The sequence below is a fragment of the Homo sapiens genome, chromosome 7, assembly GCF_000001405.40.
Source record: "Homo sapiens chromosome 7, GRCh38.p14 Primary Assembly".
Classification (NCBI taxonomy): domain Eukaryota; kingdom Metazoa; phylum Chordata; class Mammalia; order Primates; family Hominidae; genus Homo; species Homo sapiens.
The window spans coordinates 5841063-5857572 of NC_000007.14; the positions used below are offsets into that span (position 1 = coordinate 5841063).

The following is a 16510-nucleotide window of genomic DNA, read 5'->3' on the forward strand; positions in this document are numbered from 1 at the left end:
GATTACAGGTGCCCGCCACCATGTGTGACTTATTTTGTATTTTTGGTAGAGACTGGGTTTCACCATGTTGGTCAGGCTGGTTTCAAACTCCTGAACTCAGGTGATCCACCTGCCTTGGCCTCCCAAAGTGCTGGGATTACAGGCGTGACCCATGGCGCCTAGCCGGATGTCCTCTTGTTTCAGGCAACTGTTCTTAAAAGCTTGGGATCTTGGCTGGGCATGGTCGCTCACACCTGTAATCCCAGCACTTTGGGAGGCCAAGGTGGGTGGATCATGAGGTCAGGAGATCAAGACCATCTGGCTAACACGGTGAAACCCCGTCTCTACTAAAAATTAGCTGGGTGTGGTGGCACGCACCTGTAGTTGCAGCTACTCAGGAGGCTGAGGCAGGAGAATCGCTTGAACCTGGGAAGCAGAGGTTGCAGTGAGCCGAGATTGTGCCACTGTGCTCCAGCCTGGGTGACAGAGCGAGACTCATCTCAAAAAAAAAAAAAAAAAAAAACCCTGGATCTTTGCAAGCAGCTGTGGACATTTGGCCTTAAACCTTGAGATGCCTTAGTGATCCTGCCACCTGCACACATCACTACACGATTCCTTTCCTGTCTCTGGATTTTAGAGAAAGGCATAGTCTATTTTTTTCTTTTTTTTTTCTTTTTTTTGTTTTTTTTTTTTTTGAGACAGTCTGGCTGTTGCCCAGGCTCGAGTACAGTGGTACGATCTTGGCTCACTGCAACCTCCGCCTCCCAGGTTGAAGTGATTCTCCTGCTTCAGCCTCCTGAGTAGCTGGGATTACAAGCACGTGCCACCACCATGCTCGGCTAAATTTTTTTTTTTTTTTTTTTTTTTTCAGTAGAGATGGGGTTTTGCTATGTTGGCTGGCCAGGCTGGTCTTGAACTTCTGACCTCAGATGACCCTCCCACCTCTGCCTCCCAAGGTGCTGGGATTACAGGCGTGAGCCACCACGCCTGGCCCTCTTTTTTCTTGTTTTGAGAGACTGTCTTGCTTTTTCACCCAGACTGGAGTGCAGTGGAGTGATGGTAGCTCACTGCAGCCTCCAACTCCTGGGCTCAAGTGATCCTCTTACTTCAGCCTCCTTAGTAGCTGCTACTTCAGGCACATGCCATCACACTGAGCCACTGAGCTCATTTTTTTTTTCATTTTTGTAGAGATGGGGTCTCCCTATGTCGTCCAGGATGGTCTCAAACTCCTAGGCTCAAGCGATCCTCCTGCCTTAGCCTCCCAAGTAGCTGGGACTACAGGCATGAGCCATATGCCTGACCATCTATTTTCATTTGTCCTTTGATTCTGCTCTGCTGTCCCCCACTAAGACCTCGATTGCCAAGTCTTCCTGTAGAATCTTCAGTATTTTCCCTGTGGTTATAAAACAGGTTTTCTCCTGTGTTCAGAGATTCATTGATCTGCCCTATGTTAAAATAGCTGTTATTTTGTGCTATTTGTTCTTCTTTTCATCGTTTTCTTTTACTGTGAAATGCCTCAAAAACATATTTTCTACACGTATAATTTAGTCGCCTCTCTCTTCTTCACACCCACAAACTGGTGAAAGCCATTGCTGTCCTTTAGTGTACTTAATGACTTTATTTATTTGTTTTTGAATAAATAATCCAGTGTTGCCCACACTGGAGTGTAGTGGCATGATCTCGGCTCACTGCAACCTCTGCCTCCCGAGTAGCTGGGCCTACAGGTGCGCACCACCATGCCTGGCTAATTTTTGTATTTTTAGTAGAGATACCGTTTCACCATGTTGGCCAGGATGGTCTCGATCTCCTGACCTCGTGATCCGCCCGCCTCAGCCTCCTAAAGTGCTGGGATTACAGGCGTGAGCCACTGCGCCCGGCCAACTTGATGAGGTTAAATCACTGCTGTCTCCCTCCCAGCTCACCTTCGTGTGGCATTGATTGATGCTGATCACCAAGTTTCTGCTGCAGAAAACGAAGGGGCTGGGTTATTTGGAGCTGGCACCATCTTTTCTATTAAATGCTCATTTAGGGGCCAGGCATGGTGGCTCACGCCTGTAATCCCAACAGTTTGAGAGGCTGAGGCAGGCAGATCACATGGGTTTAGGAGTTTGAGAGCAGTCTAGCCAACGTGGTGAAAAGCCATTTCTACTAAAAATAGAAAAATTAGCTGGGTATGGTGGCATGTGCCTATAGTGTCATCTAATCAGGGGACTGAGGGGAGAGGATCACTTGAGCCCAGGAGGTTGAGGCTGCAATAAGCTGTGGTTCCTCCAGCCTGGGCAACAGAGCTTGACCGCATCTCAAAAAAACAAAAATCGAACATCAGCTGGCACCAGTAATGGAATCAGAAGTAATTAAACCCTCCAGGCATGGCAGCTGTCACCTGTAGTCCCAGCACTTTGGGAGGCTGAGGCTGGAGGATCGCTTGAGTCCAGGAGGTCGAGGTTGCAGTGAGCTATGATCACGCGAGACCCTGTTTCTTAAAAAAAAAAAAAAAAAAAAGAAAAGAAAAGAAAAACTTGGCTCATCTTGAAGGTTTTTTTGTAGAGATGGGGTCTCACGATGTTGCCCAGGATTGTGTTGAACTCCTGGGCTCAAGCGATCCTCCCACCCCGGCCTCTTAAAGTGCTGGGATTACAAGTGTGAGTCACTGTGCCTGGCCGATCTTAGAGGTTAATGTCAACTTTGTCTACTTCACGCATCTGGTTACTCTACTGTCCAGCCCAGTACATTACCTTTTATATGACTTTTAAATTCTTCTTTCAAAACCATGTAATATGGCTCCATTCTGCCTAATGGGCTGTACTCAGTATAACCCCATGGGGAGAAGAGCTATTATTTCATTTGTCTGTGTTTCTGCAAGAAGCTCTGGGGGACACTCCTTTAAATCCCTCTTTGGATCAGGACAAGAATTCTTTGTCACGCGTTTGTTCGGGACGCTGCTAATTAATTGATGATCCACACCAAAATCACGTGGGGAACTTCAAAAATATCCCTGGCTGAATCTCACCCTAGAAATCTGACGGGGGAGATGAACAGGTGGTCTTTACCTCTCAGAAATTCAGCAGTTCAGCTCAGGAACTTCTTTCTTTTTTCTTTTTTTTTTTTTTGAGACGGAGTTTCACTCTTGTAGCCCAGGCTGGATGCAATGGCACGATCTCAGCTCACCACAACCTGTGCCTCGCAGGTTCAAGCGATTCTCCTGCCTCAGCCTCCCGAGTAGCTGGGATTATAGGCATGTGCCACCGCACCTCGCTAATTTCTTGTATTTTTAGTAGAGAGGGGGGTTTCTGCATGTTGGTCAGGCTGGTCTCAAACTCCTGACCTCAGGTGATCCGCCTGCCTCGGACTCCCAAAGTGCTGGGATTACAGGTGTGAGCCACCGCACCTGGCCAGGAACTTTTTTTTTTTTTTTGAGAGAGAGCCTTTCTCTGTCACCCAGGCTGGAGTGCAGTGGCACAGTCACTGCAACCTCCGCCTCCTAGGATCAAGCAGTCCTCCTGCCTTAGTCTCCCAAGTAGCTGGGATTACAGGCACGCGCCACTGTGCCTGGCTAATTTTTCTATTTTTAGTAGAGACAGGGTTTCACCATGTTGACCAGGCTGGTCTCAGACTCCTGACCCCAGGTGATCTGCCCACCTTGGCCTCCCAAGGTGCTGGGATTACAGGTGTGAGCCACTGCACCCAGCCAGGAACTTTTTTTTTTTTCTTTTCTCCTTTTATTTTTTTGAGACAGTGTTTCGCTCTTGTTGCCCAGGCTGGAGTACACAATGGCATGATCTCGGCTCACTGCAACCTCTGCCTCTTCGGTTCAAGTGATTCTCTTGTCTCAGCCTCCCAAGTAGCTGGGATTATAGGCATGTGCCACCACGCTTAGCTAATTTTGTACTTTCAGTAGAGACGGGGGTTTCACCATGTTGGTCAGGCTGGTCTCAAACTCCCGACCTCAGGTGATCCGCCTGCCTCGGCCTCCCAAAAGTGCTGGGATTACAGGCGTGAGCCACTGTACCCAGCCAGGAACTTCTAAACAGAGGACTGACATCCTTGAGTCAGACATAAGCCTCAGAGGTGAGGCAGCAGGTAGCGTCTTTAGTTTAAAATGTCAATAAAGATACACCAGGTGTGGTGGCTCATGCCTGTAATCTTAGCATTTGGAGAGGCTGAGGCAAAAGAATTGCTTGAGGCCAGGAGTTCGGGACTAGCCTGGGCAACATAGCAAAACTCCATCTCTACAAAAAAAGAAACTAGGCATGAGCCACTGTGTCTGGCTAATTTTTATAATCCCAGCTGATTGGGAGGCCAAGGCAGGAGGATCGCCTGAGGCCAGAAGCTCAAGACAAGCCTGGGCAACATAGTGAGACCCCCATATCTACAAAAACAATTTTAAAAACTAGCTGGACATGGTGGCATGCACCTGTAGTCCCAGCTACTTGAGAGGCTGAGGTGGGAGGATTGCCGGAGCCCGGAAATTTGAGGCTGCAGTGAGCCATGATTGCACTACCGTGCTCCAACCTGAGTGACGGAGACCCTGTCACCAAAACAAAAACAACAAAGTGGTAATACAGGCATCACGAGACAGCAGGGAATCTGACTCTGAGGCCAGGGTGGCTTGTGTGTACTCTAGTATTCTTCTGTTGGACATCATAAAGATCCATAGGTCCATGTGAGAATAAGTCACTGCAGAAAATGCCGCTAGCTCTAAGATAATTCCTTTAACAATAAAGAGCTCATGGCTGGGTGCAGTGGCTCACGCCTGTAATCCCAGCACTTTGGAGTGTCGAGGCAGGCGGATCACCTGAGACCAGGAGTTCAAGACCAGCCTGACGAACATGGTGGAACCCTGTCTCTACTAAAAATACAAAAAATTAGCTGGGCGTGGTGGTGGGTGCCTGTAATCCCAGCTGCTCGAGAGGCTGAGGCAGGAGAATTGCTTGAACCCAGGAGGCTGAGGTTGCAGTGAGCCGAGATTGTGCCACTGCACTCCAGCCTGGTGAAAGAGTGAGACTCCATCTCAACAACAACAAAAAGGACCTCATGCTTTGAGAAAATCCAGTTGGTACACAGAATGAAAGGGAGCATAGGTCGGGAGAACATGGGAAGGGTGGATAGTGAAGGCCTCTGTGTAACCTAGGCCTCAAGAAAGGGACCGGGCACTTGGTTTTACTACTTTTTGGGACAGAGTTTCCCTCCATCACCCAGGCTGGAGTGCCGTGGTGTGATCATGGCTCAGTACAGCTTCAACCTCCCAGGCTCAAGCGACCTTCCCACCTCAGCCTCCTGAGTAGCTGGGATTACAGGCAATTAGGCTTAAAACCACAAAATGAATGCTCCCTTCAAGCTTTTCTGCAATAGTTTTGTGATACAGTACTCCAAGATTAACAAACTTACGGCCAGGCGCAGTGGCTCACGCCTGTAATCCCTGCACTTCGGGAGGCCAAGGCCAGCAGATCACCTGAGGTCAGGAGTTCAAGACCAGCCTGGCCAACATGGTGAAACCCCGTCTCTACTAAAAATACAAAAATTAGCTGGGTACGGTGGCTGGCACCTGTAATCCCAGCTACTCAGGAAGCTGAGGCAGGAGAATAACTTGAACCTGAGAGGCAGAAGTTGGAGTGAGCCAAGATCACTCCAGTACACTCCAGCTTGGGCAACGGAGTGAGACTCCGTCTCAAAAAAAAAAAAAAAAAAAAAAAAATCCCCACAAGTTTGTGTTATTTTTTCTAGAAGAAGTTTGGCAAGTTGCTACCCAGCCAGATAGCCAACAGCAACACGAAGACCAACATTTGAGCCATACGTTTCTAGACAAGAAAGACTGGACCGGAAATGAGCTTCATGAATGTAACGAACTTGGAAAAAAACTCCATCAGAACCCAAACCTCCTTCCATCAAAACAGCAGGTCCGCACACGTGACTTGTGCAGAAAGAGTTTGATGTGTAACCTGGACTTCACTCCTAACGCCTACCTGGCGAGGAGGAGATTTCAGTGCGACGGCCACGGAAACTTCTTCTCTGTTCGAAACTTGAAACTCCACCTTCAGGAGCGAATCCACGCGGAGGTCACCAGTGTGGAAGTGCTTTAAGCTGTGACGAGGGAGTTCCTGCAGCTCAGGGAGCCAGTAGTGAGAAACCCCACGAATGCACGAAGTGTGGGAAAGCCTTGTGCTGCAGATCGGACCTCAGGGTACATCACGGGGTCCACGCGGGGGAGAAGTCCTCTGCGTGCAGTGAACGGGGGAGTGGTTTCAGGGAGAAGCTTTGCCCTGACAAACAGGGAACTCACACAAAGGAGAAACCCGCTAGAGACAGCAGAAGTGGTAAAACGATCTTCCGGAAGACACGCCTGTGTGTCCCGGGCACAGTTCACGCCGGAGCGAAGCCTTACAAGTGTTGGGAGTGTGAGAAAACCTCCCACAAGTCGCGCCTCATCGAGCACCTTCGCTCCCACACGGGGGAGAAGCCCTGCGGCTGCAGGGAATGCGGAAAGGCCTTTTTCCAGAAGTCACACCTCATCCTGCGTCAGAGGACTCACACGGGGGAGAAGCCCTGCGACTGCGCGGAGTGCGGGAAAGCTGCTCCCAGGACTCCTGCCTCCTGACCCACAGGCGGACTCGCGGGGAAGAAACCGTACGAGTGCTCCGACTGCGGGAAGACCTCCCGGAAGGCGAACCTCATCCGCCACCACGGGATCCACACGAGGGAGAAGCTGCATGGGTGAAGAGACCGTGGGATCGTCACAAAGTCACATCACGAGGTCGCCGAACCTCTAGGAGGGACATCGCCAGGGAAACAGCCCTCAACCAAAACTACGACGCCACCCTAGGCAGAGGTCCCATATCGGGGTGAAATTCGGCCACTTTGGTGGCTTAAGGAAGGCATGGTCAGCTGGGCGCTGTGGCTCACGCCTGTAATCCCAGCGCTTTGGGACGCCGAGGCGAGTGGATCACCTGAGGTCAGGAGTTCAAGACCAGTCTGGCCAACATGGTGAAAGCTCGGCTCTACTAAAAGTACAAAAAATTAGCCGGGAATTGTGGCAGGCGCCTGTAATTCCAGCTACTCGGGAGGCTGAGGCAGGAGAATCGGTTGAACCTGGGAGGCGGAGATTGCAGTGAGTCGAGGTCGCACCACTGCACTCCAGCTTGGGTGACAGAGTGAGACTCAGTCTCAAAAACAAACAACAAAAAAGCATGGTCTGTTAAAACTAACGACGGAAGGGTAATGGTATGCTAGAGTGATCTATTTTCGTAGGTGTACTTTTTTTTTTTGAGACGGAGTCCTCGTTCTATCGCCCAGTCTGGAGGGCAGTGGTGCCATCTCGGCTCACTGCAGCCTCTGCCTCCCGGGTTCATGTGATTCTCTTGTTTCAGCCTCCCGAGTAGCTGGTATTACAGGTGCCTGCCAGCGTGCCGGGCCAATTTTTTGTGTTTTTAGTAGAGATGGAGTTTCACCATGTTGGTCAGGCTGTTCTCGAACTCCTGACCTCATGATCTGCCCACCTCAGCTTCCCAAAGTGCTGGGATTACAGGCGTGAGCCACTTTAGCCAGGATATACTTAATTATAAAGACAACTGTGGATATGAAGTTTTTTTTTCTTTTGAGATGAAGTTTTACTCTTGTTGCCCAGGCTATGGGAAGAAATGAAATCATTACGACTAACAGATCTAAAAAGCGTGAGAACATCCCAGAGGGACGCAGGGGTGTGTTCCAAGTGTGCTACAGACAGATAATTTTTATTTTTGTGTTGCACTGGTGAACAGAACATAATTGTGAATCTGTAGACATACATACCATAATATATAGAAGATCTATGGATACTTTCTATGCTAAATTATACCCTTCTGTGTTTGTGATATAGAACTGGAATAAGATGAATATATTATTAAAGCAGAGAGGCCCACTGCAGCAGCACATACCATTTCTTCTGTTTGTCATCACGTATTACAGAGCCCCTGAACTTGGAAGCTAACAATTTCATGACATCTGATAACTCACAGTCAACTAGTTTATAAGTTATATTTTTGGCTGGGCTCGGTCGCTCACACCTGTAAACCCAACACTTTGGGAGGCTGAGGCAGGCAGATCACATGAGGTCAGGAGTTTGAGACCAGCCTGGCCAACACGGTGAAACCCCGTCACTGAAAAATATAAAAATTAGCTGAGCATGCTGGTGATTTTCTGTAATCCCAGTAATCCCAGCTACTTGGGAGGCTCAGGCACGAGAATTGCTTGAGCCCAGCAGGCAGAGGTTGCAGTGAGCTGAGATTGTGCCACTTCATTCCAGCCTGGGCGACAGAGCAAGACTCTGTCTCAAAACAAGTTATATTTCTATATTAGGACTCCATTTTCTGGCAATACGGTGGACCGTCTAAAGTGAAAATCACCGGGGCAGTGGCTCGTGCCTGTGATCTCAGCACTTGGGAAAGTCAAGGTGGACAGGTCACTTGACCCCAGGAGTTCAAGACCAGCCTGGGCAACACGGTGAGACCCTGTCTGTACCAAATACATATATATATTAGCTGGGCGTGGTGGCACGTGCCTGTAGGACCAGGTACTTGGGAGGCTGAGGTGGGAGAATCCCTTGAGCCCAGGAGTTTGAGGCTACAGTGAGCCATGGTCGTGCCACTGCGCACCAGCCTGGGTGACAGTGAGACCCTCTCTCAATAGAAATGAAGTGAAAACCCACTGAAAACAACTGGACATGACGGACAACAACCGCTGACATCCTTTTAGATACATAATTCAGCTCTCAGGAAAATAAGTATCCAGGTGCCAGCTATGTAGAAGGTACTGAAAAACAAAGTCTGTGAGTTGATGCTGTAGCTGTTCTATGGGTTTTTGTTTACTTGGAACTTGAATGTTAAATGGTATAGAAGGGTAAGAAACAAGAACTTGGGGGCTACACAAGACAGAACTGGCCTTGAAATAACTCAGATGCGCAGAACTTTCCACAGGCTGTACATCAAGGGAGACGGCAGACTGGAGACAGAAAGCTTGCCTGTCTGTCCTTGGGCTCTGGGTAGGGCAAGATTTTACCTGGATGAGTCCATGTGCACTGGCCTGCATGTCATCTAAGTTAGAATTTGAACTTGCCCTACTCATGTTCCAATTGAGAAACTGAACAATCAGGCCGGGTGCAGTGGCTGTAATCCCAGCATTCTGGGAGGCTGAGGAGGGTGAATCACCCGAGGTCAAGAGTTTGAGACCAGCCTGCCCAACATGGTGAAACCCCATCTCTACTACAAATACAAAAAGCTGGGCGTGATGGCAGACGCCTGTAGTCCCAGCTACTCGGGAGGCTGAGGCAGGAGACTTCGCTCGAACCTGGGAGGCAGAGGTTGCAGTGAGCCGAGATCGCACCACTGCACTCCGGTTTGGGCAACAAGCAAAACTCTTGTTAAGAAAAAAAGGTAGACACAGCATGAGTCCACTTATATAAGGTACCTAGAATAGTCAAACTGATAAGAGACAGAAAAAAAGTAAAACGTTGGTTATCAGAGCTTGGGGGTAAGGGGGATGGAGAGTGAGGGTTAATGGGGACAGTTTCAGTTTGGGAAGATGGAAAAGTGCTGGAGATGGATGATGGTGATGGTTGTACAATATTTTGTTTTTCTCTTTTTTTTTTTTTTGAGATGGAGTCTCGCTCTGTCGCCCCAACTGGAGTGCAGTGGTGCAATCTCGGCTCACCGCAACCTCCACTTCCCGGGTTCAAGAAATTCTCCTGCCTCAGCCTCCTGAGTAGCTGGGATTATAGGTGCACACCACCATGTCCAGCTAATTTTTGTATTTTTAGTAGAGATGGGGTTTTGCCACGTTGGCCAGGCTGGTCTTGAACTCCTGACCTCCTGCCCGCCTTGGCCTCCCAAAGTGCTGGTGTTATAGGCGTGAGCCACCATGCCCAGCCTGGTTGCACAATATTTTTGATGTAATAAATGCCACTGAATTGTACCCTCAAAAATAGCGAAAATGGCAAATTTTATGTTACGCATATTTTACCACAATTAAAAAAAAAAAAGTGTAGGATCCACTCCCAGCTGGTGCTCTGGCCCTGCCCTGGCCCCACAGTGGAGGAAGGTGCTTCTCTCCCATTAACGTGGACACGCCTTGACCAGGACTTTGAGCGTGTGGTTTTTCCCTTCCCTAGCCCGGGCCTCGGACCTTCTATGACAATCCGCTTTCCTCTTATATGTGATTTTACTTTCCCAGACTGGAACATTTGCTTTCTGTTCACTTTACTGAACAACACTTAGACATCCAACCTCTCTCTGTCCTCTCTCTTCCCTGAAGCTTCCTTGGCACACAACACACCTAGGCAAGCCTGGGTGGGTACAGGAGTGGTTCACTGCATCCCTGGAACAGGCTCAGGGGTTTTCGGGCATAAAGGCCTCCTCCCTGGCTTGATGGTCAACCTGTGCCCAGTGTCACATCCATCAAATGACTTTGTATTTCACAGCTTCTCTTCCACCCCCACTCTCTTGGGAGAGGTCAGGCCCTTCCAGCCCAGAGTGGGGGTCAGTGTGGACCTGGGATTTGATGTATACTCTAAGCTTGGGGAAAAAAAATGGTTAAAAAGTCCCCCAAGGGCAGCAGGAAATCGGGCTCTGGTCCCAGATGCATTTGTGATGAAAGGGATTAGACTCTGCAGCTCCTGTTAAAATCAACCACCGCGTCCATGGGTTGATCCAAGAATTCTGTGCAAAGTCTGTAAAACTCCGTCCTTGGTCTTGCTTGCTTTAATGACAGTCTTTCACATTTTTGTCCTAACATGTTTCTTCTCAGCCTGATTTTTTTAACAAACTGGCAACTTTGAAATGTAAAACAGTGAAATCTAGAATTTTCTCCCAGAGAAAACTTTTCCAGAGAGAACACACACACACACACACGCCCATCAATTGAGAACCATATGCTAAGAGCAACTATGTTTACTTTACAAAAGAATAATGTCTTGGCTGGGCACGGTGGTTCACGCCTGTAATCCCAGCACTTTGGGAGGCCGAGACAGGCAGATCACTTGAGCTCAGGAGTTTGAGACCAGCCTGCGCAACATGGTGAAACCCTGTCTCTACAAAAAAAATTAGCCGGACGTGGTAGCATGTGCCTGCAGTCCCAGCTACTCAGGAGGCTGAGATGGGAGGATCGCTTGAGCCTGGGAAGTGGAGGTTGTGGTGAGCCAAGATTGCGCCACGGCACTCCAGCCTGGGAGACAGAGTGAGATGCTGCCTCAATAACAATAATCACAACATCTTGAAATAACCGTTTCTGTCTCTTTCTTGCCACTGGAGACAGAAGAGTTAGCCAGGTTGCAGTTTTTTTTCCCGTTCCTCACTCCTGGAGACACCCAGGCCACTGGGTTCTGAGCTCCTTGTCTCCAGGGAGTTAAGATGAACATGCTAGAGTCAGCTTGCTTCAAGTCTCAGCTCTACCATTTGCTAACTTTGGGTAAATCATTCAAGCCTCAGTTTCCTCATCTGTAAAACAAGATTATCAATGTAACTACATCCTACATGGAGTAGGCAGCAGACTACAAGGGTCTCTCGAGACCAGCAGAGGCAACATAGTCTTGCTCTGTCACCCAGGCTGGAGTGCAGTGGTGCGATTATAGCTCACTGCAGCCTTGAACTTCTGGGGCTCCAGCGATCCTCCTGCCTTATCCTCCCAAGTAGCTGGGACTACGGGCACATGCTATCACGCCTCACTAACTTTTTAACTTTTTCATAGAGATGGGGTCTCGCTCTGTTACCCAGGCTGGTCTCAAACTCCTTGCCTCAAGCATTCCTCTTGCCTCTACCTCCCCAAGCAGTGGGATTACAGGCGTGAGCCACTGCACCTGGCTAATTTTTAAATTTGTAGCAGAGATGGGTGTCGCACGATGTTGCCCAGGCTGAGTCTATATTTTCATACGGTCATTATTCCCCATGTTAAACTTAGAGGCAAAGTCTTATTATTATGGTTGTAGTTGAGAAAACCTGGGCTCAGCAATATAATAAGGTTCATCTGAGGTCAGCCAGTTTATAGCACACCTGAGTTGGGACTGGACCCCACCCCCCCACCCCCCCACCGACCCCCCGCCCTCAACTCTTCTGTCGGGTATAAGGTGCTGCCTACATAATGCAAAATATCCACAGTAAATTACAGCGAGGTGAGGCTGGAGCTGTAGTCTGCATGACAAAGCAGTCTTTAACACACAAACACACTGCAGTAATCACTGTGTACAGTATTCCCCTGTGAGAGTTAGTTGGCTTTTAGGTTGAAAATAAGCTGAGTCTCTGAAACAAGAAACATGTCAGATTGCTTTGCCAAAAAGAGATTCACACAATTTTTTTTGAGACACTGTCTTGTTCTGTTGCCCAGGCTGAGTGCAGTGATGCAATCATGGCTCACTGCAGCCTCGACCTCCTGGGCTCAAGTGATCCTCCTGCCTCAGCCTCCTGAGTAGCTGGGACCACAGGCATGCACCACCGCACCTGGCTAATTTTTTATTTTTTGAAGAGATAGAGCCTCACTATGTTGTCCAGTCTGGTCTCGAATTCTTGGGCTCAAGCAATGCTCCCGTCTCAGCCTCCCAAAGTGCTGGGATTACTGGGATTACAGGCATGAGCCATAGCACCCGGCCTCAGACACGTAGGACGAAATCTCCAAACTGCTTCTCTATAAAGGACAGAGGGTGACTCAAGAACATGAGCTCGGCCAGGTGTGGTGGCTCATGCCTCTAATCTCAGCACTTTGGGAGGCCAAGGTGGGTGGGTCACTGGAGGTCAGGAGTTCGAGGCCAGTCTGGCTAACATGGTAAAACCCCATCTCTACTAAAAATACAAAGCCAGGCACGATGGCAGGTGCCTGTAATCCCAGCTACTCAGGAAGCTGAGGCAGGAGAATCACTTGAACCTGGGGGGCGGAGGTTGCAGTGAGCCGACATAGCGCCATTGCACTCCAGCCTGGGCGACAGAGTGAAACTCCATCTCAGAAAAAAAAAAAAAAACGTGAGTTCAAGGAACCTGACCCTCACGCTGTCTTATTTCCACCTTGGGCGTTTATTTCCTTGTTTATTTGTGTTTCTTTTCTCCTCCCCAGAAAGCTGACTTCATGAGACCGAGGATCTCGTTCGTTGATCGATGCTACATATTCAGCATGTTAGATAATGAGGTTGGTGAGATTGATGAAATCCCGCCCACCAGGGCCGACCCACAAAGAGCCACTTTATGAAGAACATGCTCCTGAACTCCACTCCACAACCAGCTTTTGAAAAGAAAAATCTGAAAAAATTTGACCTCAGTTAAACTGGTCCAAATGCCTGAGCATAACCAAAATCTTTCCTCATTCACTCTTCACGTGGACCGTGTTTAATTTGGTTGCTGGTGATCATATTTGTTTTAGTAAAGGCTGTCACTCTATCTTGGGCGAAGATTTGGGTTCTGTGGACTGATGTTATTTTATTTTGTTATTTCATTTTATTTATTTTAATTTTAATTTTATTTATGTTATTTTATTTTATGTTTTACTTGAGACAGGATCTCACTCTGTTACCCAGGCTGGAGTGCAGTGGTGTGATCACAGCTCACTGCAGCCTCAAACTCCTGGGATCAAGTGGTCCTCCTGCCTCAGCCTCCCGAGGAGCTGGAACCACAGATGCATGCCACCACGCCCAACTATTTTTTTTTTTTTTTATTTTTGGTAAAGACAGGGTCTTGCTATGTTGCCTCGGCTGGTCTCTAACTCCTAGGCTCAAGCCATCTTCCCACCTCAGACTCCCAAAATGCTAGGGTTGCAGGTGTGAGCCATTAGATGTCGTGATTTAAAACAAAAACCTCTTCTGTGTTTGACACGGGGCCTTTGCACTCGTGCTCTGGCCCTCTGCCGTGGTGCCGCAGTTCTCACTCTGGGATTTTTATTACCTCTGACGTGCCTTCCTGTGGTGACATCTATAGGCAGCTGCATAAATCATGCCCACAAAGAAGGACAAACCGAGGAGCCTGGAGAAGTCAGGGTTCCTCTGGAAATAAATATTCTGTATTCTGTTGCACGCACACATATGTGCCCTTTTCTTTTTTTGAGATGGAGTTTTGCTCTTGTTGTCCAGGCTGGAGTGCAATGGCATGATCTTGGCTCACTGTTATCTCCTCCTCCTGGGTTCAAGCAATTCTCCTGTGTCAGTCTCCTGAGTAGCTGGGATTACAGGCACCCGCCACCATGCCTGGCTAATTTTTTTTGCATTTTTAATAGAGATGGGGGTTTCACCATGTTGGCCAGGCTGGTCTCGAACTCCTGACCTCAAGTGATGCACCCACCTCGGCCTCCCAAAGTGCTGGGATTACAGCCACGATGCTTAGCCCATATTTTCTTATTATCAAAAATCCTAATACTTTATATAGCCTCTAACCCACAATTCCCCTTCCATGAACTTAAAATGTTTACAGAAATTGTGGAGATCTCCCCTTCTTATGGCCAAGATGGATAACCCTTCTTGCCTTAAATACCTACAACTGTACAAAACATAGGAAACAGCAGTTTCTTTTCGTTTTTGAGAAGGGTCTTGCTCTGTTGTATAGGCTGGAGTACAGTGGCAAAATCAGGGCTCATTGCAGCCTCAACTTCCCAGGCTCAAGCGATCCTCCCACCTCTGCCTCCTGAGTAGCTGGAACTACAGGTGTGAGCCAGCATGGCTGGCTAATTTTTATAATTTTTGTAGAGATGGGGTTTCACCGCATTGCCCAGGCTGGTCTTGAACTCCTGAGCTCAAGCCATCTGCTCACCTCAGCCTCCCAAAGTACCGGGATTACAGGTGTGAGCCACCAAAAGCTTTAATTCTTTTTTTTTTTTGAGATGGAGTCTTGCTCTGTCACCCAGGCTGGAGTACAGAGGCACTGTCTCGGCTCACTGCAACTTCTGCCTCCCCAGTTCAAGTGATTCTCCTGCTTCAGCCTCCCAAGTAGCTGGGATTACAGGTGCTCACCACCACGCCTGGCTCATTTTTGTATTTTTAGTACAGATGGGGTTTTGCCGTGTTGGCCAGGCTGGTCTCAAAGTCCTGACCTCAGGTGATCCGCCCACCTCGGCCTCCCAAAGTGCTGGGATAACAGGTATGAGCCACCACACCCGGCCCACTGCTCCCTTTTGACCAATAATTTGGGAATGTGATTTTAAAAAAGCTTTAATTCTTTATATAGCCTCTAACTCACCCTTCCAGGAACTTAAAATGTTTTATTTTTTTCTTGAGACAAGGTCTCACTGTGTCACCCAGACTGGAGTGCAGTGGTGCCAACATGGCTCACTGCAGCCTGGATCTCCTGGGCTCAGGCAGTCCTCCCACCTCAGCCTCCCGAGTAGCTGAGACTATAGGCGCACATTGTCATGCTCGGCTACTTTTAGTATTTTTATTTTCTTGGAGAGATTGGGGTCTTGCTGTGTTGCCCGAGCTGGGTTCGAACTCCTGGTCTCAAGCAGTCTTCCCCCTTCAGACTCCCAAAATGTTGTAAAAATTGTGGAGACTTCCCCAACTTATGGCCAAGATGGATTAACCCTCTTGCCTTAAATACCTAGAAAACCGTACAACACATACGCAAAGGCAGTTTTTAGACACCGGTCAATAGGTGGCACTAAAGACCATGATCTCCGTTAGGGGAGAAACCAATGAGGCAAAGTGTTTCCAGCTGCCGCGGGAGGAGGGCAGCCGGGCAGAGCCCAGTGTTCTCCCTGAGTGCAGGAGACAGAGCTGAAAGTGTGAGCAGGCCTGGCCAGGTGCGGTGGTTCACGCCTATAATCCTAGCACTTTGGGAGGCCGAGGTGGGTGGGTCACTTGAGGTCAGGAGTTCGAGACCAGCCTGGCCAACATGGTGAAACCCTGTCTCTACTAAAAATACAAAAAATTTAGCTGGGCGTGGTGGTGCATGCTTGTAATCCCAGCTAGTCAGGCGGCTGAAGCATGAGAATCACTTGAACCTGGGAGGTGGAGGTTGCAGTGAGCCGAGATCGCGCCACTGCCCTCCAGCCTGGGCCAGAAAGCGAGACTCTGTCTCTAAAAAAAAAAAAAAAAAAAGTTTGAGCAGGCCAAAGCAGCTGGAATTTGCAGGATGGAATCCTGCGGGAGAGATATGCAAAAAAACCCAAATTCTGCAGCTTTGCAAAGGAAACCTCTTGACTCTGAAGCTGAGTGGGATCACCTCACACATGGAGGAAATTACCCGAGCAAGACTAGGGGAAGGAATCACACAATAGAAACAGGCAGAATAATTCCAAAGTCCACAAAAAGCTGGGAACCGTTCGTGTTTCCAGCAGGCAAAGTGAAAAACCTCATAATACCTGGGGCATTGAATCAAGTGTTCAGAGGGGCGTTGCCTTCGTGGTGCGGCAGAATTGGCCCTAGACTAAGGGTTGGTCTAGTTCTGCAAGTCTCAAAAGGACCACGCATCTGGGTGCGGAGGTTCACGCCTGTGATCCCAGTACTTTGGGAGGCCGAGGCGGGTGGATCACCTGAGGTCAGGAGTTCAAGACCAGCCTGGCCAACATGGTGAAATCCCCGTCTCTACTAAAAATACAAAAA

General features: G+C 48.7%; 1 pseudogene across 1 annotated transcript in view; it reads left to right on the plus strand.

Moving 5' to 3' along the window:
- The window catches only part of ZNF815P (zinc finger protein 815, pseudogene), a 31276-nt pseudogene extending 17903 nt beyond the window's left edge, over positions 1 to 13373 (plus strand). Inside the window, 3 exon segments of the transcript NR_023382.1 lie at positions 5704 to 6539; positions 7502 to 8454; positions 13045 to 13373. The product of NR_023382.1 is annotated as a zinc finger protein 815, pseudogene (transcript).
- Positions 13374 to 16510: the final 3137 nt, after the last annotated feature.